The sequence below is a fragment of the Homo sapiens genome, chromosome 3, assembly GCF_000001405.40.
Source record: "Homo sapiens chromosome 3, GRCh38.p14 Primary Assembly".
Taxonomy (NCBI): Eukaryota; Metazoa; Chordata; class Mammalia; order Primates; family Hominidae; genus Homo; species Homo sapiens.
In genome coordinates this window covers 41,506,953-41,530,749 of record NC_000003.12, presented here as the reverse complement: position 1 = coordinate 41,530,749, position 23,797 = coordinate 41,506,953, and the positions used below count along the sequence as shown (strand labels likewise).

General features: G+C 38.1%; 1 protein-coding gene across 6 annotated transcripts in view, besides 2 other annotated features; it reads left to right on the top strand.

Annotated features, from left to right (window-relative positions):
• Positions 1-23,797, top strand: part of ULK4 (unc-51 like kinase 4) — a 715,505-nt gene that overhangs the window by 431,354 nt on the left and 260,354 nt on the right. The gene's annotated exons all lie outside the window — the stretch shown is intronic.
• Positions 11,497-12,184: an enhancer, noted in NCBI's record as "OCT4-NANOG hESC enhancer chr3:41560057-41560744 (GRCh37/hg19 assembly coordinates)". NCBI's record gives its function as "activates a minimal SCP1, AML or CMV promoter by ChIP-STARR-seq in naive H9 embryonic stem cells {active_cell/tissue: H9 hESC(naive)}" and the evidence as "EXISTENCE:reporter gene assay evidence [ECO:0000049][PMID:30033119]".
• Positions 21,875-23,074: an enhancer, noted in NCBI's record as "CDK7 strongly-dependent group 2 enhancer chr3:41549167-41550366 (GRCh37/hg19 assembly coordinates)". NCBI's record gives its function as "activates an origin of replication core promoter dependent on BRD2, BRD4, P300/CBP, MED14 and CDK7 cofactors, with strong dependence on CDK7, by STARR-seq in HCT116 cells {active_cell/tissue: HCT116}" and the evidence as "EXISTENCE:reporter gene assay evidence [ECO:0000049][PMID:35650434]".

The window sequence follows — 23,797 nt, the reverse complement described above, 5'->3', positions numbered from 1 at the left end:
TCATTATTGAGGAGAATGTATTCAGTTATTCTAGTTGTTTTTCAAGTTGGTCAGCTGTTGTTGAATTACAAACCACCATAACTCAGTGAAATGAAGCAAAAATTATCTGTTATATTGACTCTTGTCTGTAGGTTGGCAGAGAACTCAGCTGTAGGCTGGGCTGTGACATTACATTAACAAATTGCCAGCGTTGGGTCAGTTTAGGCGGGGGTAGCTCCAATGGACCAATAAAGTTGGGTTCTAGTACAGTTCTGTTTGGTTCTAGATGAAGTCCTACTAATCCTTAAATGCACTCAATGTCCATAGTCAATACCACCAAAATAATCATTTTAGTCTTTCATGACATAAGGGCCCAGTGCAACTCCCTGACTGCCTTGACTTAATTTCCTTGATGGTCCCGGACATTTCGTCTCAGTTTTCTGAACCCTATCTTTTTGAATGTGTTCTAATAGCAGTTTCTGTGTCCCCCTTCCTTAGAGTTGTGGTGATTTTAAGGGTTCATAGTTTTAAGTTTTTTAAGGTAATCTAGAAAAAACATATTTCATTAGAAAATATTTTACACTTCTGTGTTTAGTGAAATTTCATTTGTTTAACGTATAGTTTCTTATTGAGATATACTTCACATATCGTAAAATCCATCATTTTGAAAGTACATAATTCAGTATATTTTTTAGTATATTCACGAGGTTGTGCAACTATTTTCACTATGTAATTCCAGAATATTTTCATCTCTGCAAAAAATCCCATGTACCCCCTTAGCAGGCACTCTTCATTCACTCCTTTCCCAGTTGCTGGCAACCACTAATCTCTATGGATTTGCCTATTCAGGATATTTTATATAGATGGAATCATACAATACCTGGTCTTTGTGTCTGGCTTCTTTCACTTCACATTTATGTATAAATTTTAATGTTAATAGAAAAGGCAAAAATAATCTAATTTAAAATATCAGTACCTGGCTGGGCGTGGTGGCTCATGCCTCTAGTCCCAGCACTTTGGGAGGCTGAGGCAGGTGGATTGCTTGAGGCCAGGAGTTCGAGACCAGCCTGACCAACATGGCGAAACCCTGCCTCTACTAAAAATATGGGGGAAAAAGAAAAAGCCGGGCAGGGTGTTGCACACCTGTAGTCCCAGCTACATGGGAGACTGAGGCACAAGAATTGCTTGGACCTGGGAGGCAGAGGTTGCAGTGAGCCGAGATTGTGCCACTGCACTCCAGCCTGGGTGACAGAATGACACCCTGCCTCAACAACAAATCAGTACTCAAGAAGCTCTTATATGTTCAGATAATGGGCTTATTTTCATCAGGTGTTTAAACTTGCCTTATTTCTTACTACCTTGATATTGCTAAAACTTTGCATTAACAAATCGCCCCTATTTGCTTCAAAGAGTATTTAAACATGTCTACATGAAGGTTTGACTGAAGCAAATTCTAATGATATTGAAGAGTAAGTTTAATTTAGGAGTTTTGCTCCAACTTTTAGAAATTTTTCTCGTTTTAATGAATCATGGAAATGTGTGAATATAAGGAAGAATGCTCCCTCCAAAAAATTGAACTTTAATTACACAAAATGGGCATTGCTTGAATTTGACATGAAGTTACTCATTAAGGTAATGTTACCAAACTTTAAGAATAGTATGAAGTGTATGCCAAGTTGGCTCTTCTTTCTCTCAAGATGCGCTTTGGGAACTCTTCTCTGCTAAGCTAATACTTAAAGATAAAGTTGAGTTAAAGCTTGGCAACAACAAGGAATCTTTTTGTTAACTTTTATTTTAGGTTTGGAGGTACATGTGAAGGCTCGCTACATAGGCAGACATGTGTCACGGGGGTTTGTTGTACATGTTATTTCATCACCCAGGTATTAAGCCCAGTACTTAATAGTTATGTAAGGATATGCCTTCTTTCTTGGACAACAACACACTGCAGTTTTATTTTTCAATGCTGTGGGTAAAAACAAGACAAAACTGGGTAACTGGAAAATCCTCTATTGAACTCGATATATACATGACAGTGTTATCTCTGAATGGAATCATGAGATCCTTAGTGGAATCATGTAATAGGCAAGGTTTTCTTTTGGCTTATAGTGCTACAAAGCATATCTTTCATCTCTGGTCTTGATGTTCATATTAATGCTAACCAACAATTTACTGTGCTTAATGAATCAGTGGAAAAGCCAGTACTTTTCATTTACTTGGTTTCCTGATTGTAAAGTGGCCATAATAATACTTGACTCATCTAGGTACTCGGCAGGTAAATAAATTTTTTGAGGCTTTTGAGATCCCCTTCCGAAAAGATGCTATAGTTCCCAAAACATTATCTTACAAGTAGGCTACAAAATGAATTCCTTATATATAAATGTCTGTTTCTATACATTTCTATTGATGAATTCAAGTATATAATTAGATTTAGGTTCTAACGGAAAACCATAAAATACATTGACTTGAGAAGGCAGGAATTGGGAGAATATTTCAGTGTAGGAGTAAAAAGTGATTTCCAGCTTGAATTGTCTGTCACTTTGTGCTTCTTCAGGGTGAGTCTACCTAGAGGTGATGGCCAGTCTCCTGCCTTATCTGGTTATTTCTGTGTCCTGCTCGATGAGGGAGTATACTATTTGAATTTTTCTTCCATAAAACAAAAAATGTAGAGATTTGAAATTCCATTGGCTACATGGAATCTCATACATACTCAAATAATCTGTTTTCTTAGTCCCAGTTCTGTAGTGGATAATTGTCCTATATGTGGTTAACCACATAGCTGTGTCATACATTTATAATTCTCGAGGGTCAAACTTTTTATCTTTTCTGATGGTCCTCCAGGGTCAAATTTTATCTTCTCATCTTCTTTAAGGAAATATTATAAAACTATTCTGTTCTAACTATATCACAAAACTATAGTATTATAAAATGTGTTCTTTAAAAGCTATTAGAAATCCTAAAATGTGTGCTAAAAGAAAAGTGTGATTATCCAGGTTGGAAGAGTATAACAAATCTGCAATAAATAAATTCAGCTTTTGAAAATTTTTTTATACTCATGAAAAGGTATTATTGTGAGGATACAATGAAATAGTAGATAGGAAGGTGCTATTAAGTAGCCAAAGCTGTTCGTACCTGTGTTTAGTATTAAAGAATTAGGTGGACAACATTACATTGTGGTGATACCAAAAGTCTGGAGCCAGACTTCCACACTTCGAAAATCCTGGCTCTGGCATATGCCACTGGCGTTAGCCCTATACTGGTGACTTAATGTGTCTGTCCCTCAGTTTTCTCCCATGTGATAGGATAATAATAGTATACCCACTCACCATTGTCTTACAGTTGTGACAAAATCTAAACAAGTTGATATGGGTAAAGCATTTGGACCAGTGTCCCACACATAGTAAGCATCACAGAAATATTAGTTACTATATTAGTGACATTTTTCACATTCTCAGAATTTCTACCCTTGTTTCTCCCAGTAATGCTTTGTACTTGGGCAGCTCTGTGCATTTGCTTCTTAATCTCAAGCTGCTGAACCCTCTTGAGGTGTGAAGGAGAAACGAGCTGTAGAGCATGTCCTGTGTGTGGCACTACGTGCAAAGCTGTACACATGTTACCCTCTTCTGTCCTTACAGGAGGGCTGTGAAGTTGGTTTCCTTGTCGATAAAAATAGAGCTTAAGTCTTCTTTACAAAGTTCATAAGAGTTAAATGAGATAATGTATGTAAAGCACTTTATGTAATGGACTCTAACAAATAATAGCTATTATTTTCACTACTATTCTGGTAGCTTCCTTGGTAAACAATAACTCCTTGGTAGATGAAGTGAAGATTTGATTTTTAGACTTTCTCAAATGTTCCTGGTTAAAGTAATAGAAAAAAAAATGTCACTTTTATTTTACTCTCATATACTCACCTGTGTAAAACAACAGAAACACAATTCCATCTTCAAGGAAATTTTTAAAAAACCCTACAACACTCCAAGCCAAAGCCTTCGAAGGATACTGGCCAAATATTGTGAATTCTCTAGAAATATGGGCAGTATATGCTTCTGTAGATTTCAAACAAAGTATATATCTCCCCTCCACCCCCCAAACAAGTGCTGCAGTCCTGGAAGACATATCTAAAAAGTCTTTGGTGACAGTACTGAGATACAGGGCAGCCAGGCAGTGATGTCCCTATGGTGATAACTCTTCAGAATTGCAAGGGCATTAGGGAAGCCAGGGGAAGTTGAGTGCTGCAGGAGAGACCATGCTGATAGACCATTTCTGTCATCTCTGGTCTTGCCTTTAAGCTTAAGAAAGTGATCTCAGGAAGCACATTAGGCAGAACTAGACAGGACCTTATGGCTGAATTGCCTTAGCTGTGGCCACATGGGTCTCTTGAGTGTTTAAGTAACAGGCACAAATGGAGGCCCCATCTCATTCTATGCATACCTCTGGCTCTGTCCCTCTCCACACTTCTTCAGCAGGTACCTGTTCTTTTTCAAAGATGAGTAACAATCAGGAAGGAACCTGTACATAAAAACTGGAGGGAAGAAACTTATACAAAAGGCAGAGAAAGGACAAATAATATAAGAGAAAAAGAAGACGAATCATACATAGTCTGTAAGAGATGCAAACACACTCACTCTAGAAAAAAAGAGTTCAATGAGAGGTTCAGGAGCACAAAGGAAGTGTGAGACAGAGAAGGAGATAAGGAGCAAACTGGGGAGCTTAGGAAGACATGGAAGTAGGGAATGTTAATATCACTGGACATTATAGATCACCAAGATGAGAGCCACACTAGAAGCTGCAAAAGACCAAATAAGCACAACTGAAAGCATCCTCAGGGAGGTGGCAGATAGGCTTTAGGTAGTCACACAAAATGACAGGAAATGAAACAGTGATTTAAACTGTGCATAGAGACAATGACGGAGATGTCATTGACAAAGGAGCTACATCATAAGCATGATTAGTATTTTTACAGAAGAAGTGAAAGGGAACCAGACAGGTGAAAGAGTTAAAAATAGAAAAGCAATGTTCCATAAATAAATGTGCAGATAAAAAGGGCACATTGTATGCTAGGAAATACAGATACAAAATGACATATTCCAGTGAGAGTATTAGCCATCAAGGACAGGGAAAGGAGTATTTGATGCTCCTGCAGAAAAAGTTAGTCATGTGCAAGGCACAGTAAGGGAGCGATGATGGGATCTGGAGTGAAAGCTGCCTGGAAAGGGCTGTTTTACAGGAACTATGCCCTTTGGGAGGGAGACTAGGCCTCACTCTTGTCCCGACCTTTGATTTCCTGCCTGTGGCTCCCTGTGGCTGCACCAGAAGACGAGAGTCCATTGATGCCATTCATACAGGTCGGCTGTTGGATGGGGAGCCGATCAGGAAGAGAAACAGAAAGCATTCAGCATGTGCATCAAAATATTTTTTTTCTTGCTATTCAATTAAGAAATTAAAACTTGTTTTAGACTCTTTAGGAACGGGTAATGCTAAAGATTAATAGTCATAGTGTTCCTTGCTGTCCTGCTTCCCTTTCTCACCATGCATGAGGATTTTAGCCTTACTGAGGTGCTATGTGAGAAATATGAGAGAGTTAATGCCTCTCACATATCTTTCATCTGCTTAGTTACAAAGATTCCCTCAGTTGGGTAGTCGTATGGACTGGATCACAGCAGATAATAGAAAAAGATATTTTAGGAACTGAAATATTTATTTGGACCCTGTTATAGCTTCCAGAATGCTCTCAAGTCTCATCTTTCACCTAGTTTGGTTAACCGTCTTTATCTCAGACTTAGCTCCTCTTCCTTTGTTTTGTTTGTTTGTTTGTTTTTTGTTTGTTCTTTTTGGAGACAGAGTCTTGCTCTATCGCCAGACTGGAGTGCAGTGACGCGATCTTGGCTCACTGCAACCTCCACCTCCTGGGTTCAAGCGATTCCCCTGCCTCAGCTTCCCGAGTAGCTTGGACTACAGGCACGTGTCACCACACCCGGCTAATTTTTTTGTATTTTATAGAGACGGGATTTCACCATGTTGGCCAGGATGGTCTCGATCTCCTGACCTTCTCATCTGCCCACCTCAGCCTCCCAAAGTGCTGGGATTACAGGCATGAACCACTCCACCCGGCTGCCCCTCTTCCTTTCTTAAGTGTGTTCCTGCCTCTGGCTGACTTCAGGCCAAAGGACTCTGTACTTGGTGACAGTTTTAAATACAGCTCTAATCCTGAGTACTGTGGAATTGAGGAAAGACTGGAGGAAAACAAGGACAGCCAGTTTTAGGGATTGTGGTGCTGACTGGTTTCCTCTTTACTTTCTTTTGAACTCCTAGTTGGCCATTGACTTGTTTCCAGGGTCACTACTGGGCATCTCTTTGAAAGTCCATTCAAAGGAGTAAGAGGTGGGAGAAAGAAGGTGGAGGAGTACGAAAGGGGAGACTAGTTTAGTAAATGACCTCACTCATTTCTGTACTTTCACTACCATACAGCCACTGCTTTAATTTAAAAAATAGCTATAGTGAGATATATATCACATACCACACAGTTCACCCATTTAGAGTGTATAATTCAGTGGTTTTTAGTGTATTCATGACACAATAAATTTTAGAACATTTTTGTCACCTCAGAAAGAAGCTCTGCTCATAGCAGTCACTCACCAATCCCCCTAAATCACCTCTGCCTAGACAACCACTAAGCTACTTTGTCGTTATAGATTTGCATATTCTGGACATATCATAGAAAAAGAATCATGCAGCATGGGGTTTTTTGGCTAGCTTCTTTCAGTTTGCATAACATTTTCAAGGTTCATCCAAATTATAACATGTATTGGTACTTCATTTCATTTGATTGCATAATTTTTTTTTATTATATGGATATACTACATTTTGTTTATCCATTCATTAGTTGATAGAATATAGGTTGTTTCCACTTCTGGCTGTTGTGAATAATGCTGTATAAACATTCATGGACAAGTTTTTGTGTTGATATGTTTTCATTTGTCTTAGGTATATACCTAGGAGTGGAATTGCTAGATCATATGGTAATTTTATGATTAATTTTTTTGAAGAACTGCCAGACTGTTTTCTGAAGTGGATGTATCATTTTACATTGCCACCAGCAATGTGTATGGACTCCAGTTTCTCCATACCTTCTCCTAAACTTATTATCTGTCTTTTCAATTGTGGCCATTCTAGTGGTGTGAAGTAATGTCTCATGTGGTTTTTAAAAAAATCCATAAAAATGTATTATACAAGTATTTATTTTTTATTGTAATAAAATATAAAATAAAATTTACCATTTTAGCCATTTTTAATGTTACAATTTTGTGGCATTAAGTGCATTCACATTGTTGTGTAACCATTATGACCATTCATCTCTAGATTCTAGAAGAAATGCACTCTGCTCACAATCTCAGTCCCAGAATGCCCTGTAACATATGTGTTGTCCCACTTCTGATCTTATTAGTAGTGACGTGCTTCATGTCTTCCTTCTCTCCATGTATCTTTATTGAGAACCTAATATGTGTAAGACATTATGTGCTGGATTCTTTTAGGGCCACCAAAATGAATAAAACTTGGTCTGGGGCTGGGCACAGTGGCTCATGCCTGTAATCCTAGCACTTTGGGAGGCTGAGGCAGGCGGATCACCTGAGGTCAGGAGTTCGTGACCAGCCTGGCCAACATGATGAAACTCCATCTCTACTAAAAATGCAAAAATTAGTCGGGCGTGGTGGTGAATGCCTGTAGTCTCAGCTACTCAAGAGGCTGAGGCAGAATCGCTTGAACCTGGGAGGTGGAGGTTACAGTGAGCAGAGATCGTGCCACTGTACTCCAGCCTGGGCGATAGAGCAAGACTCTGTCTCAAAAAAACAAAAACAAAACAAACAAAAATACCTTGATCTGTTGACTGTTTTTTCACCAGTTCTTACCCAGTTCCTCTTGTGATAACACACAGCTGGCACACAGCTGGCCAAGTTCCCTGGGGCAGATCCTTTTGCTTTGGAACACAATGAAAATCACTGGCAGAGACTGAGACCATAATTTGGATTTAACAGACCAATTTTGTGGTCTAAAAACTTTCAAGCAGTTGTTTCATTTTCAGTTCTGTCATATCATCTGACTTTAGTTTTGAAATATGGAGAACAGGATGTTAATAAAGAGAACTTTCCATTTTTCTTTCTTTAATATTTCATTGAGATAGAATGGCCTGTGTATTATTACTCCTCATCCCAAAAGCTTTCTCCCTAGTGTTTGGCTAGGTTTCTTAATGTCTAAAATATTCTCAAGTATCAAAGCCATATTTTCAATTATCAGAAAAGGTGTTTTTTTAATGTAAAAGAAGAAGACATTTGGCCAGGCATGTGGTGGCTCACGCCTGAAATCCCAGCACTTTGGGAGGCTGAGGCTGGTGGATAACCTGAGGCCAGGAGTTTGAGACCAGCCTGGCCAACATGGTGAAACCCCGTCTCTACTAAAAATACAAAAATTAGCTGAGTGTGATGTCATGCACCTGTAATCCCAACTGCATGAGATTACAGGTTGGGAGGCTGAGGCAAGAGAATTACTTGAACCCAGAAGGCAGGGGCTGCAGTGAGCTGAGACTGTGCCACTGCACTGCTGCCTGGGTGACAGAGTAAGACTCGGTCTCAAAAAAAAAAAAAAAGAAAAAAAAGAAAAAACATTTAACCAGTATATTAGATTTAAAACATGTTTAAAATAGCAAGGAGGGACGTATAACACTACATGTAAATTTATGATAGTATCAGAGAATAGCATACAATGAATTGTGCATCCTATAAAAACCACAAAGAGCTACGGAAAGATCCTTTTTTGAAGCTATCTTCCAAAAAAGTTATTAGTCTAGGAAAATTTGGCAAGTTAGCATGTGAATGAAAGAAAGTAACATGGCAAGGCAATTGAAATAGCTGCATTTGAATCTAGAGTCTACAACTTATTTGGTGAGATCTTTTGGGTCTTAATCTCCCCAGGGATATTGATTCCTATTTTATGTGTTTGTGTTGAAGCTTAAATGATAATTACATGTAAATCTGTCATGTATAATAACTGAATTAGTGTATTTAAAAGTAAATACTAAAAAACAGCTGAGTGATCTTCACATGGGACCATGTAAGCAGATCTTGAGAATGATTGAAGAGAAATCCAAGATAAGTGATTAGATTTCAAGACTGTATCACCTGTTTTACATGAGTTCAACTTTACCAACCCAAATAGATTCTTATGCAGAGTACTGAAAAATCCACAAATAGGATCTTAGAGTCATTGTTACAAAGAAACAGTGCCTAAGAGTTTAGGGTGGGAAATAACTCATTTTCAAAAAGAGGAATTGAAGAATTTGAGAACTATACATATCTGTCTAGACAAAATGATGATGTTGTGTTTTTGAAAATTGAAAAAAAAATAAGGTCTAATCAGTGAAGGCCTGAGACCATATATGATATATTAATGAAGATGAGACCTGGGAGATGGAAATCATGACCTCCCAGATCATACTATCAGAAGGACCGGGAACCTACTGACAGAGGACTGTTAGGTTGAGTAATGCTAGCTGGTAGGAAAAAGAAACTAAAATTTTAGTGTGTCAGCACTAAAAGTTGGTTTTTCAGTAGTGTAACAGTAGAATGTGTGGCACTCCTGGTCAGTGGGTGTTTTTCTTTCATGTGGTATCTGGCTTCTTCCATTTCATGGCTCCCTTGTTCCCTAGGGTCTTAGAATCATCTGCATCAGGCAGAAGAATAAAATAGTGGAAAAGGCACAGCTCCTTAATAATCCTAGCTAGAAGAAATATTTGCAAATCACATATCTGATAAGGAATTAATATCCTGAATATATAAAGAACTCCTACAACTCAACAAGAGAAAAACAAATAACCCAGTTCAGAAGTGGATGAAGATCTTGAATAGACATTTCTCCAAAGACAGTATACAAATGGCTGCTAAGCATTGAAAAAATAATCAATATCTTTAATGACTAGGGAAATACAAATCAAAACCACAATGAGATACCACTTCACCTAGTGTATAGTATAACTATTATTGAAACAATGGAAAAATAGCATGTTGGTGAGGATGTGGAGAAAGTGGAATCCTTGCGCATTGCTGGTAGAAATGTAAAATGGTTCAGCCGCTGTGGAAAATTGTATAGTAGTTCCTCAGAACGTTAAATAAGGAATTACATATGATTGAGCAATTCTCTTATAATATTCCCCAAAGAATTAAAAACAGGGACTCAAACACATACACAAATCTGCACAAATATGCATTGCAGCATTATTCATAATAGCCAAAGATGGAAACAACTCATGTCTCCATCACCAGATGAAAAGATAAGCCACATGTAGTATATGCATACAGTGAAATAATATTTAGCCATAAAAAGGAATTAAAGTGAGATAGAAAATACATTATCAATGAGCCTTGAAAACATTACATTAACTGAAAGAAGCCAGGCACAGAAGAACAAATATTGTTATGATTCTACTTGTGTGAGGTACCTAGAAAAATCAAATTTATAGGGACTGAAAGTAGAACAGGGGTTACCAGGGGCTGGGGGGAGGGAGAATGGGGAGGTACAGTTTAGTGGGTACAGAGATTTCTTTGTGAGATGATGAAAATGTTCTGGAGATAGTGGTGATGGTTACACAACACTGTGAATGTACTTCATGCCACTGAATTATATACTTAAAAAATAGTTAAAATGGTACATTTTTATGGTATGTGTATTTTACCGCAGTTAAAAATGAACCCCAGCTGAAAATGACACACGTGTCTTTTGTTCACATTCTGCTGGTGAGAGGTAGCCTTGCAGAGACTTTGGGTAATGTAGTGCTTGATTGAGCAACATTTCCCAGTAATTATTCCACAGTTTGGAAAGAAGTGCATGAATATTTTGTGGACAGCCAGCTATTTTGGCTACAAAGATCAAATTTAAGTTGATACATATGCAACTTACAAAATAGTAATTCAGTTTAGAGGCAACTCCTTGAAACTGTAGGGTCAGAAGACCCTGAAAAGTTCCTCTCAAACATGAGTCAGGTAAAAGATATATTAAAGTTCCCATTTTACCAATGCAAAATGAATAAAATGTACACAGTGTTTCTTTTATTCGTGTGCGCACTGTGTCTTATGTTTAAGGCTTTCATTAATTGACCTTGATTCTCCTGCCCCTGTTTTTCCTACATGTTCATGTATGCTTCAAATTCAAATTCCCTACCACACTGTGTTTCAGGAGAGGACAACTGTGTGGTGTCCCAACTGAGGAACATCAAATGTCTCTTCTGTATGAGGAAGAAGGTTGAGTTTAATTATTAGTGGAAGATTTAAAAATAAATATTGGAAATGAAATTAGCGACTGATTATCATTCGGCATCCACGGTAGTGAGGCAAGTAGGAACCCCTCCTGGGGAGTGGTGGAAGATGCTAGGATGTTTGGTTTGTAGGTGGAGTGACTAGTCAGAGCTCCAAGGGATGTCTTCAGATATGTGTCTGCCTCTCCTGTGAGGCACAGAGGAGGTGCTTGCTGTGACAAGCTCCAAAAGGCAGGACCTTGAGTCCTAGTGCAAGTTCTAGGGCAGCCACTTTGTGTTCAACGTAAGAAAGACCATTCCAACAGGTTGAAGATTGAATTTTGTAGAGGCCAACATCTGGACATAGTGAGTGAATGGTCTGTACTGTGAATGTCCCAGCAGCCTCAAAGGGAGACTGAACAGAGGAGCGATTCCAGCAGGGGTGGGAGGTGGGCTTATGGCCTCTAGAGCCCCTTCTAGCTCCAAGATTCTGTGATTCTTTCTTACATTTGCCAATGTTTGTGAACATTCCTGCAGTCTCCAAGATGAAAAGCAGAGAAGTTAATGTAATGAAAGAAAGCTATTAAGATGTAAATTGTTTTCTCTGTAAGTGCTTTCATAGTGTGCTGAAACATACATTCACTTTTATTCCCTTATGTCTAGGCTGCTGACGCTCAGGAAATAAAGATGGAAATGTGGAATCAAGCAGGTCATACCCGTACAAAGACAGACAGCTAACATCTGGCTCACTCTTTTTTCCCTTAACTGATAGAACCAGTGCTGCATAGTATCTCTAACGCCTTCTCTTTTATATCCTTAGTTTTAGAGAGAAAAAAATCTAATGTCGGGCAGCATTATTGAAGCACATTACTGCCATATTCAGCAAACGGTAGGACATTTAAAGTGAGGACAGTTATTACTGGGATTAAAACAGTAATAAAACTTTATAGAGGCATTTAATAACTCATTTACAGATCATGAAACAAAGCTAATAGTCAACCTTCATGGGTGAAGTGTTCTATTTGTCTTGTGGTCCATTGCTTTGACTTTTAGTCAAATGTCAAGAGATGACTTAGATTGCAAATGTCTTTATGTGCATCTTATTGTTAAAGCCTGCAGAATTTTGCACACTTAAAAATGAGTCCCCAAAGAGCAGTGATCCAGCATTAACATTTTAAATAAAATGTAAGGTATCAGCTCTTTCTACTTACAGATATATAGATGAGAGATTGGCAAACAATAAAATGATCTTTAGTCTGTATAAGCCCCAAATGTTGGATTTAATCCAGTCTTCTTCTCTAGGTATCTCCTAGTTACTAGCTATAAATAGCTGAATAAATTGTAGGTCATTTACCTCCCCTTCCATTAACAGTTTCCACCATAATTATTTCTGGACATGATAGTTTGTCTTCTCCTGCCTCCTAATAGCTCTTACTCTGTACCATATGCAGAAGATTTCCTTTCCCGTTAGACACGGTTCTGATTTGGGTTGTTCCCTTAAATTTCATTCAACAAATCTTTTTTGAGCCATGGAATATTTAGAGTAGGAGTATTCTTAATATTAAGTTGGTGCAAATGTAATTGCGGTTTTTGCCATTGCCTTTAATTACACAATTACCTTTGCACCAACCTAAATACTTTGTTCAAAACCCTCTCTGTACACATGACAAAAACTAGGCCAGTGAGGTGCAGAAACTTGCCCAGGATCCCTGGCTAGAAAGTGGCTGAGACAGCCCTGAGTGGCAGAGGCGCCCTTGCTGCCTGTGCCCTCACCAAGGGCTGAATTACCTCCCTTTCTCTTCAGAACAGCGAGTGCTTTAGTCACGGCACCATTAGATATTCTTTCTTTAAAAATAAAATTATTTTTCTAGAGACTGTTCCTGCTGCTATAACAAAATAGCCGAAAGACAGTAATTTATGAAGAACAGAAATTTATTTTCTCAGTTTTGGAGGCTGAGAAGTTCAAGGTCAAGGCACTGGCAGATTTGCTATCTGGTGAGGGCTGCTCTCTGCTTCCAAGATGGTGCCTCTTACTGTGTCCTCCCAATGGCAGAAGGGAACAGAAGGGCCCTCCTTAGTTCCCTCAAGCCCTTTAATAAGGGTCCTAATCCTATTCATGAGGGCAGAACTCTGACTTAATCACCTCTTAAAGGCCCTGCCTTTTAATACTATTATATTGGGTCTTAGGTTCTAATATATGAATTGTGCTGGAGGAGGGATGGATAGATTCAAATCATAGCACCATTGCTGCACATTTTTGCCAGCATTTGATATTATCAGTGTGTTGGATTTTAGTCATTCTGATGGGTGTATGGTGGTATCTCATTCTTTTAATTTGTAATTCCCTAATGACATATGATATTAAGTATCCTTTCCTGTGCTCATTTGCCATCTGTATATCTTCTTTGTTGAGGTATCTGTTCAGATCTTTTGCCCGTTTTTAATTGAATGGTTTGTTTTCTTATTTTTGAGCTTTAAGGATTCTTTGTATACTTTGGATACAGGTCCTTTAAAAAATTGTTTATGGGTACATAGTAGGTGTATATATTTATGGGATACATGAGATGATTTGATACAGGCATGTGGTGTGAAATAAGCACAACATGGAGAAGGGGTATTCATCCCATCAAGCGTTTATCCTTTCAGTTACAAACAAACCAATTACACACTTTATTTAAAAATAAACAATTATTATTGACTATAGTCACCCTGTTGTGCTATCAAATAGTAGGTCTTATTTATTCTGTTTTTTGGTACTCATTAACCATCTCAACCTTCCCCCACCCCCACCCCTCACTGCTCTTCCTAGCCTCTGGTAATCATCCTTCTACTCTGTATGTTCATGAGTTCAATTGTTCTGATTTTTAGATCACACAAATAAGTGAGAAAATGTGATGTTTGCCTTTCTGTGCCTGGCTTATTTCACTTAACCCAATGACCTTCAGTTCCATCCATGTTGTTGCAAATGACTGGATCTCATTCTTTTTTATGGCTGAATAGTACTCCATTGTGGAGTACTATAGTGGATACAAGTCCTTTATCAGATATGTTTTGCAAATATTTTATCCTAGCCTGTGACTTGTGTTTTTATTTTCTTCAGGTTTAGTTTATTTTGATACTTGGTTTTAATAGCTGAAAAGTAAATTTCATAAACATATATAGAAGTGAGTGCAGAAAGTACAGTATTGACTCTGCTTCCCAAATTAATACTTATTTTCAAATCTGTACACCAGTTACACAAAGAGTTTAAAAATTAATTTGTCTAGTAAAATTTCACTTTCTCAGAATTGTTGTCTATACTAACGAATCAGAACATGTATTTCTAATAGATTCAAGACCTATTGAGTTTCACTTAGAAAATGTTTAAATAGGTGTGAAAATGGTTTTCAATCTTTTGTTATATTTTATTTACTTTTTATTGAGGTTTAACATGCATGCAATACAGTGCATTAATTTTAAGCATACAATTTAGTGAATTTATACAGCTGTATACACTGTAAAATCAACAAATAGATTTAAAGAAAATTTCTAGTACACTAGAAAGTTACTTCAAGTCCCTTCTCAGACAGTGTTCATCAATCTTCTGATTTCTATCACCCTTGATTAGTTTTGCCTGTTCTTGAATGTCATATAAAAGGAATTAGAAAATATGTCTACTGATATGATTCGGCTCTGTCTTCACCCAAATCTCACCTTGAAGTGTAATAATCCCCACATATCAAGGGTGGGACTAGGTGGAAGTAACTGGATCATGGGGGCACTTTCCCTCCTTCTGTTCTCCTCATAATGAGTGCGTCTCATGAGATCTGATAGTTTTATAAGCATCTGGCGTTTCCCCTACTGGCACTCCGTCTCTCTCCTGCCACCATGTGAAGAAGGACGTGTTTGTTTCCCATTCTGTCATGATTGGAAGTTTTTTGAGGCCTCCCCAGCCATGACTCACATGCAGAACTGTGTCAGTTAAACCTCTTTCCTTTATAAATTACCCAGTTTTGGGCAATTTTTTATAGCAGCATGAGAACAGGCTAATACCTCTACTTATATGTCTGGCTGTTTTCACAGTGCATTTTCTGTGTCATCCACATTGTTGTTTTTATCAGTGTTTTTTTTTAATTACTATATAGTATTCTATTATATGAATATATGACAGTTTGTCTCTTTAGCATATCTATCTATATCTGTTTATATCAGTTTATTTCTTCAGCATATCTTTTCTTTTTCTTCTTTTTTTTTGAGATGGAGTCTCACTCTGTCGCCCAGACTGGAGTGCAGTGGTGTGATCTCAGCTCACTGCAACCTCCACCTCCCGAGTTCAAGCCATTCTTCTGCCTTAGCCTCCTAAGTAGGTGGGATTACAAGGGTGTACCATCACACACAGCTAATTTTTGTATTTTTAGTAGGGACAGGGTTTCATCAGGCTGGCCAGGCTGGTGACAAAAACTCCTGACCTCAAGTGATCTACCCGCCCCAGCCTCCCAACATGCTGCAATTACAAGCGTGAGCCACCATGCACAGCCAGCATATCTGTTCTTTAGTGACTCATAGAAAAGGTAATTATTTGAATATTTCTTTTTTTCTTATTTGTACAAATTTTGGGGGTAAACATGCATAGATTGTATAGTGGTCAAGTAAGGGCTTTTAAGTTATCCATCAACAGAATAGCATACATTGCACCCGTTAACCAGTTTCTCATCCTTCCTCCCACCCCTCACCCTTCTGAGTCTCCATTATCTCTCATCCCACTCTACGTCCACATGAACACATTTTCTGGCTCCCACTTATGAATAAGAACATGCAATGTTTGTCTTTCTGTGCCTGGCTTGTTTCACTCAGGATAATGGCCTCCACTTTCATTCATGTTGCTGCAAAAGACATGATTTCATTGTTTTTATGGCTATTATTTCGTTATATTTATATGCCACATTTTCTTTATCCATTTATTCACTAATGGACACCCAGGTCGATTTCATATCTTTGCTGTTGTGGAGCTTTGATTTGTTAATGAAGTGGCTTGGAATTCACCCAGAAGATTGCTGTGGTCTCATCAGAACTGAGTCCTTTGCTGGGCCTGAAGTCATTTGGATCAAACATGACCCTATTCCTTTGCTTCGCACGACCCCCTCCAGGTCTTTTGTTTGACCTGGTCCTGTAAAAAGAAAATCTGTCTCTGCATTTTATGTAAAAGTAAGATTATTACTTTTTATGTTAAAATCTTTAAGTTGTCCCCCCAAAAAGGCTGTTTATTTTATTAACTCTTTAACTGGGCTCAGTTCTCTGTGTGGTTCTTGATCATTTAAAATTGGTAGGTTGCCTGTTTCAAGCAAAATCTACCTCTTCCTCCAAAATGGTTTCCTTTTCAATTTTTTTAAACAATCCATTAAAAATAATTTTATTAGGTATCTAGTTCAGGATAAATTTACAGTTAAAATGCAAGAAAAATTTTCACTTCTTGAAGCAAACAGTTGGAACCCAGTTTTATGAAAAGGGCATTCTTTTTTATCTTAGTATTTATTTTTTTAAATTTTATTTCAATAGATTTTTAGGGAACAGGTGGTGCTTGGTAACATGAATACGTTCTTTAGTGGTGATTTTTGAGATTATGATGCATCCATCACCCAAGCAGTGTGCACTGTACCCGGTGTGTAGTCTTATCCCTCAGCTCCGTCCCACCTGTTCTCCCGAGTCTCCAAAGTCCATTGTATCATTTTTATGCCTTTGCATCCTCAGAGCTTAGCTCTCAATTATGAGTGAGAACATACAATGTTTGATTTTCTATTCCTGAGTTACTTTACTTAGAATAATAGTCTCCAATTCTATCCAGGTTGCTGTGAATGTCATTATTTTGTTCCTTGTTGTTGTTGATGGACTCTTGCTCTGTTGCCAGGCTGGAGTGCAGTGGCAGGATCTTGGCTCACTGCAACCTCCACCTCCTGGGTTCAAACGATTCTCCTGCCTCAGCCTCCCAAGTAGCTGGGACTACAGGCATGCGCCACCACGCCCAGATAACTTTGGTATTTCTAATAGAGATGGGGCTTCATTGTTGCCAGGATGGTCTTGATCTCTTGACCTCATGATCCGCCTACCTTGGCCTCCCAAAGTGCTGGGATTACAGGTGTGAGCCACCACACCTGGCCAACTCTGCTGATTATTTCTATTGCTGTGCAGAAGCTTTTTAGTTGAATTAAGTCCCACCTGTTTATCTTTGTTTTTTGTTGCATTTGCTTTTGGGTTGTTGGTTATGAAGTCTTTGCCTAAGCCAGTGTCTAGAAGGGTTTTTTCTGGTGTTATCTTCTAGAATCTTTATGGTTTCAGGTCTTAGATTTAAGTCTTTGATCCATCTTCAGTTCATTTTTATATAAGGTGAGAGATGAGATTTCACTTCCATTCTTCTACATGGGGCTTGCCAGTGATCCCAGCACCATTTGTTGAATAGGGTGTCCTCTCCCCACTTTCTGTTTTTTTGTTTGCCCTGTCCAAAATCAGTTAGCTGATTAGTAAGTTACTAACAGTAAGTATTTGGCTTTATTTCTGGTTTCTCTATTATATTTTATTGGTCTATGTGCCTATTTTTATACTAGTACCATGCTGTTTTGGTGACTATTACCTTATAGTATAGTTTGAAGTTGGGTAATATGATACCTCCAGATTTGTTCTTTTTGCTTAGTCTTGCTTTGGCTATGCAGTTCTTTTCTTGGTTCCATATGAATTTTAGGAGTGTTTTTTTCTAGTTCTGTGAAGAGTGATTGTGGTATTTCGATGAGGAATTACGTTGAATTTATAGATTGCTTTTGGCAGTATGGTCATTTTCTCAATATTGACTCTACCCATTCATGAGCATGGGATATGTTTACATTTGTTTGTGTTGTCTATTATTTCTTTCAGCAGTGTTTTGTAGTTTTCCTTGTAGAGGTCTTTCACCTCCTTGGTTAGGTATATTCTGAAGTGTTTTATTTAATTTTTACAGCTATTGTAAAAAGGGTTGAGTTCTTGATTTGATTCTCAGCTTGGTTGCTGTAGGTATATAGCAGAATTACTGAGTAGTGTACATTAATTTTATATCCTGCAACTTTGCTGAATTCATTTACCAGTTCTAGGAGCATTTTAGATGAGTCTTTGTGGTAGGTATATGATCATATCATCAGCAAACAGCGACAGTTTGACTTTATCTTTGCCAATGTGGATGTCCTTTATTTCTTTCTCTTGTCTGATTGCTCTGGCTAGAACTTCTACTATGTTGAATAGAAGTGATGAAAGTGGGGATCCTTGTCTTGTTCCAGTTCTCAGGGGGAATGCTTTCAACTTTTCCCTGTTGAGTATAATGTTGGCTGTGGGTTTTTCATAGATGACTTTTTATTGCCTTAAGGTATGTCCCTTCTATGCCAGTTTTGCCGAGGGTTTTAATCATGAAGTGTGCTGGATTTTGTCATATGCTTTTTCTGCATCTATTGAGATGATAGTCTGATTTTTCTTTTTAATTCTGTTTATGTGGTGTATCCCATTTATTGACTCATGTATGTTAAACCATCCCTGTGTCCCTGGTATGAAACCCACTTGATCGTGGTGGATTATCTTTTTGATACACTGTTGGATTGGTTATTTTGTTGAGGATTTTTTTATCTGTGTTCATCAGGGATATTGGTGTGTAGTTTTCTTTTTTTGTTATGTCCTTTCCTAGTTTTGGTATTAGGGTGATACTGGCTTTATAGAATGATTTAGGGGAGATTTCCTCTTTATTCTATGGAATAGTGTCACTAGGGTTGGTACCAGTTCTTCTCTGAATGTCTGATATAATTCAGTTGTGAATCTGTCTGGTACTGGACTTTTTTTTGTTGTTGGCAATTTTTAAATTACCATTTCAATCTCACTGTTTGCTTTTCTCTGTTCAGAGTTTCTATATCTTACTGGTTTAATGTAGGAGGGTTTTATATTTCCAGGAATTTATCCATCTCCTCTAGGTTTTCTAGTTTATGTGCCAAAAGGTGCTCATAGTAGCCTTGAATAATCTTTTGTGTTTCTGTGGTATCAGTAGTAATATATCCCATTTCATTTCTAATAGATCTTATTTGGATTTTCTCTCTTCTTTTCTTGGTTAATCTCACTAATGGTCTATCAATTTTATTTATCTTTTCAAAGAACCAGCTTTTTGTTTCATTTCTCTTTTGTATTTTTTGTTTTTTTGATTTCATTTAGTTTTGCTCTGATCTTTGTTATTTCTTTTCTTCTGCTGTGTTTTGGTTTGAATTGTTCTTGTTTCTCTAGTTTCGTGAGGTGTGACCTTAGAGCGTCTGTTTGTGCTCTTTCAGACTTTTTTTTTTTTTTTTTTTTTTGAGACGGAGTCTCGCTCTGTCGCCCAGGCTGGAGTGCAGTGGCATGATCTCAGCTCACTGCAAGCTCTGCCTCCCAGGTTCATGCCATTCTCCTGCCTCAGCCTCCCGAGTAGCTGGGACTGCAGGTGCATGCCACCACGCCCAGCTAATTTTTTGTATTTTTTAGTAGAGGTGGGGTTTCACCGTGTTAGCCAGGATGGTCTCGATCTCCTGACCTTGTGATCCACCCGCCTCAGCCTCCCAAAAGTGCAGGGATTACAGGCATGAGCCACTGCGCCCGTCCCAGACTTTTTGATGTAGGCATTTAATGCTATGAACTTTCCTCTTAGCACCACTTTTGCTGTATCCCAAAGGTTTTGATAGCTTGTGTCACTATTATTCAGTTCAAAGAATTTTTAAATTTCCATCTTGATTTCATTGTTAGCCCAATGATCATTCAGGAGCAGATTATTTAATAACCATGTATTTGCATGGTTTTGAGGGTTCCTTTTGGTGTTGATTTCCAATTTTATTCCACTGTGTTCTGAGAGAGTGCTAGATATAATTTCGATTTTTTAAAATTTACTGAGACTTATTTTGTGCTTTATCATATGGCCCATCTTGGAGAATGTTCCATGTACTGATGAATAGAATGTATATTCTATAGTAGTTGGGTAGAATGTTCTGTAAATGTCTTGTACATACATTTTTTCTAGGGTATAGTTTAAGTCCATTGTTTCTTTGTTGACTTTCTGTCTTGATGACCTGTCTAGTGCTGTTAGTGGAGTATTAAAATCCCCCACTATTATTGTGTTGACATCTGTCTTATTTCTTAGGACTAGCAGTAATTGTTTTATAAATTTGGGAGTTTCAGTATTAGGTGCATACATATTTAGGATTGTGATATTTTCCTGTTGTACTAGTCCTCTTATCATTATGTAATGTCCTTCTTTGTCTTTTTAAACTTCTCTTGCTTTAATGTTTGTTTTGTCTGATATAAGAATAGCTATTCCTGTTCACTTTTGGTGTCCATGTGCATGGAATATCTTTTTCTACTTATTTATCTTAAGTTTATGTGAGTTCTTATGTGTTAGGTGACTCTCCTGAAGACAGCAGAAATTTGTTTGGTGAATTTTTATTCATTCTGCCATTCTTTGTCTTTTAAGTGGTGCCTTTAGGCCATTTCACATTCAACGTTAGTACTGAGATGTGAAGGTACTATTCTATTCATCTTGCTATTTGTTGCCTGAATGCCTTGTTTCTTTTTTCATTGTATTATTGTTATATAGATCCTGTGAAATTTATGCATTAAAAAGGTTCTATTTTGGTGTATTTCAAGGATTTGTTTTGATTTAGAGCTCTTTTTAGCAGTTCTCATAATGCCGGCTTGGTAGTGCTGAGTTTTCTCAGAATTTGTTTGTCTGGAAAAGACTGTGTCTTTCCTTCATTTATGAAGCTTAGTTTCGCCAGATACAAAATTCTTGGCTGAAAATTATTTTGTTAAAGGAGGCTAAAAATAGGACACCAATCCTGTCTGGCTTGTAGAGTTTCTACTGATAAATCTGTTGTTACTGTAATAGTTTTTCTTTCATGGGTTACCTGATGCTTTTACCTCACAGCTCTTAAGATCCTTTTCTTTGTCCTGACTTTAGATAACCTGAAGACTGTGTGCCAAGGTGATGATCTTCCTGTGATGAGTTTCCCAGTTGTTCTTTGAGCTTCTTATATTTGGATGTCTAGATCTCTAGCAAGGCTGGGGAAATTTTCCTTGACTATTCTCTTAAATGTGTTTTCCAAACTTTTACATGTCTCTTCTTCCTCAGGAACACCAATTATTCTTAGGTTTAGATGCTTAACATAGTCCCAAACTTCTTGGAGGCTTTGTTCATTTTTTAAAAATTCTTTCTTCTTTTCTTTGATGCATTGGATTAATTTGAAAGCCTTGTTTTCGAGCTCTAAAATTCTTTCTTCTGCTTGTTTGATTCTATTGCTGAGACTTTCCAGTGCATTTTGCATTTCTCTAAGTGTGTTCTTCATTTCCAGAAGTTGCGATTGTTTTTTATTTATGCTATCTATGTCATTGAAGATTTCTCCTTTCATATCCTGTATCATGTTTTTGATTTCTTTAATTTGGAGTTCACCTTTCTCTGATGCCTCCTTGATTAGCTTAATAATTAACCTTCTGAGTTCTTTTTCTGGCAATTCAGAGATTTCATCTTGGTTTGGATCCATTGCTGGTGAGCTGGTGATCTTTTGGGGGTGTTAATCTACCTTGTTTTGTCATATTACCAGAATTGTTTTTCTGGTTCCTTCTCATTCGGGTAGACTATGTCAGAGGCAAGATGTGGGACTCAAGGGCTGCTGTTCAGATTCTTTTGTCCCACAGGGTGCTCTCTTGATGTGCTGTTCTCACCCTTCCCCTAGGGATGGGGCCTCCTGAGAGCCAACCTGCGGTGATTGTTTTTGCTATTCTGGGTCTAGCCACCCAGCAGAGCTACTGGGCTCAGGGCTGCTACTGAGGAATCTCTGCAAAGAGTCCTGTGATGTGATCCATCTTTATGTCTTTCGGCTGTGAATACCAGCACCTCCTCTGGTGGAGGTAGCAGGGGAGTGAAGTGGGCCTTGGTCCTTGGGTCCTTGGTTATATTTTTGTTTTGTGTTGGTTGACCTCCAGCCAGGAGGTGGCGCTTTCAAAAGTGCATTGCCTGTGATACTATAGGGAGGATGCAAATTTGCCTTAGGGTTGCCAGGTTAAGTATTCAGGTTTCTCAGGTGGTGGGCAGGGCCATAGAGCGCCCAAGAGATTATATCCTTTGTTTTCAGCAACCAGGGTGGGCAGAGAAAGACTACCAGGTGGAGGCAGGTATAGGCATGTCTGAGCTCAGACTCTCCTTGGGCAGGGCTTGCTGTGGCTGCTGTGAGGGGTGGGGGTGTGGTTCCCAGTCCAGTGAAGTTATGTTCCCAGAGGATTACGGCTGCATCTGCTGAGTCACGCAGGTCACCAGGGAAGTGGGAGAAAGCTGGCAGTCATAGGCCTCACCCTACTCTCATGCAGCCTGCAGTCCTAAAGGCCAGTCTCACTCCCACTGTGCTCCCCAGCGGCACCGACTCTAGTAGAGGAGCCAGTGACCAGTGCTGAGAACTTGCCCTGGACCACCAGCCTCCCTGCTGAGAAAGCAAGCCAACTCACAGTTTTTTGGCATCTCAGGGAGCTTGCAGTGGCAATTCAGTTCCTTCAAAGGGTCTATGGATGCTCTCAGCCTTCCTGGTATGTTGCTGTGGTAGTTCTTGGAGCAAATGTTCACAATGTATCTCCACACACTCTTCTGTCTGTTCTAGTGGGAGCTGCAAGCTGGTCCTGCCACCTTATTTGAATATTTCTTCATAGGAACAGAATCTGGATCATGAGTGGAGTCCGTTTTGAAATAACTATACTGGGATTCAACCTCCACAATGTATTTGTTTTAATATTTACTGCTTCAACTTTTCTGCAATATTTCTAAAATTGACAGTGTAACTTTTGTTGATAAAAATAAAATTTCAGTTTTTTTTTTTTTTTTTTTTTTTTTTTGGTGGTGGTTTTAATATATTATTTCAGCTGTTTTTACCGTGGGAAGAAAAGTGTTTTCCCCAATGGTTTGTGGTTTTCTGACTTTTACTGTAAAATATGAAATCTCACAGGGGCTTCTGAATATTTGTCATTTAGTTTCTTAAATGTTGAGAAGTACTGGACTGAGAGTCACATGAAATAAAGAATTTTAATTTTCTCTTGTGGGTACTTAGTTTTAAATTTTCATGCTAATTGTGATGGCTTCCTAGTATTTCTTGCTAAAATATCAAGCAAAATACATAGTAAGATTCATTTAACAGTAGTAGTTTTCACAATTTCACTATTTTTAGCTGGTTTTCAAATGTATTTAACTTGGCATTGTTTTTAACATTATAATGTGACTGAGGAAGCTGGGGAGCAGAATCACACTGACTTTTTTTTTTTTTTTTTTTTTTGCTCCTGGTTATTAGTATTATGTATAATTCTATTTTTTTTTTTGGCCGGAATCTATAAGGTACTTGTCTACCTTTTTATTGTTAATTTAGTTAAAACTGAATAATATAATTGGCACATCCATTTAACCAGGTGTACATGAACTGCTTTATAGCAAATATGTACATATGTATGTGTATATATGTGCAATATACTGAAATTTTACAGAAACTCATGGGATGTTCACTC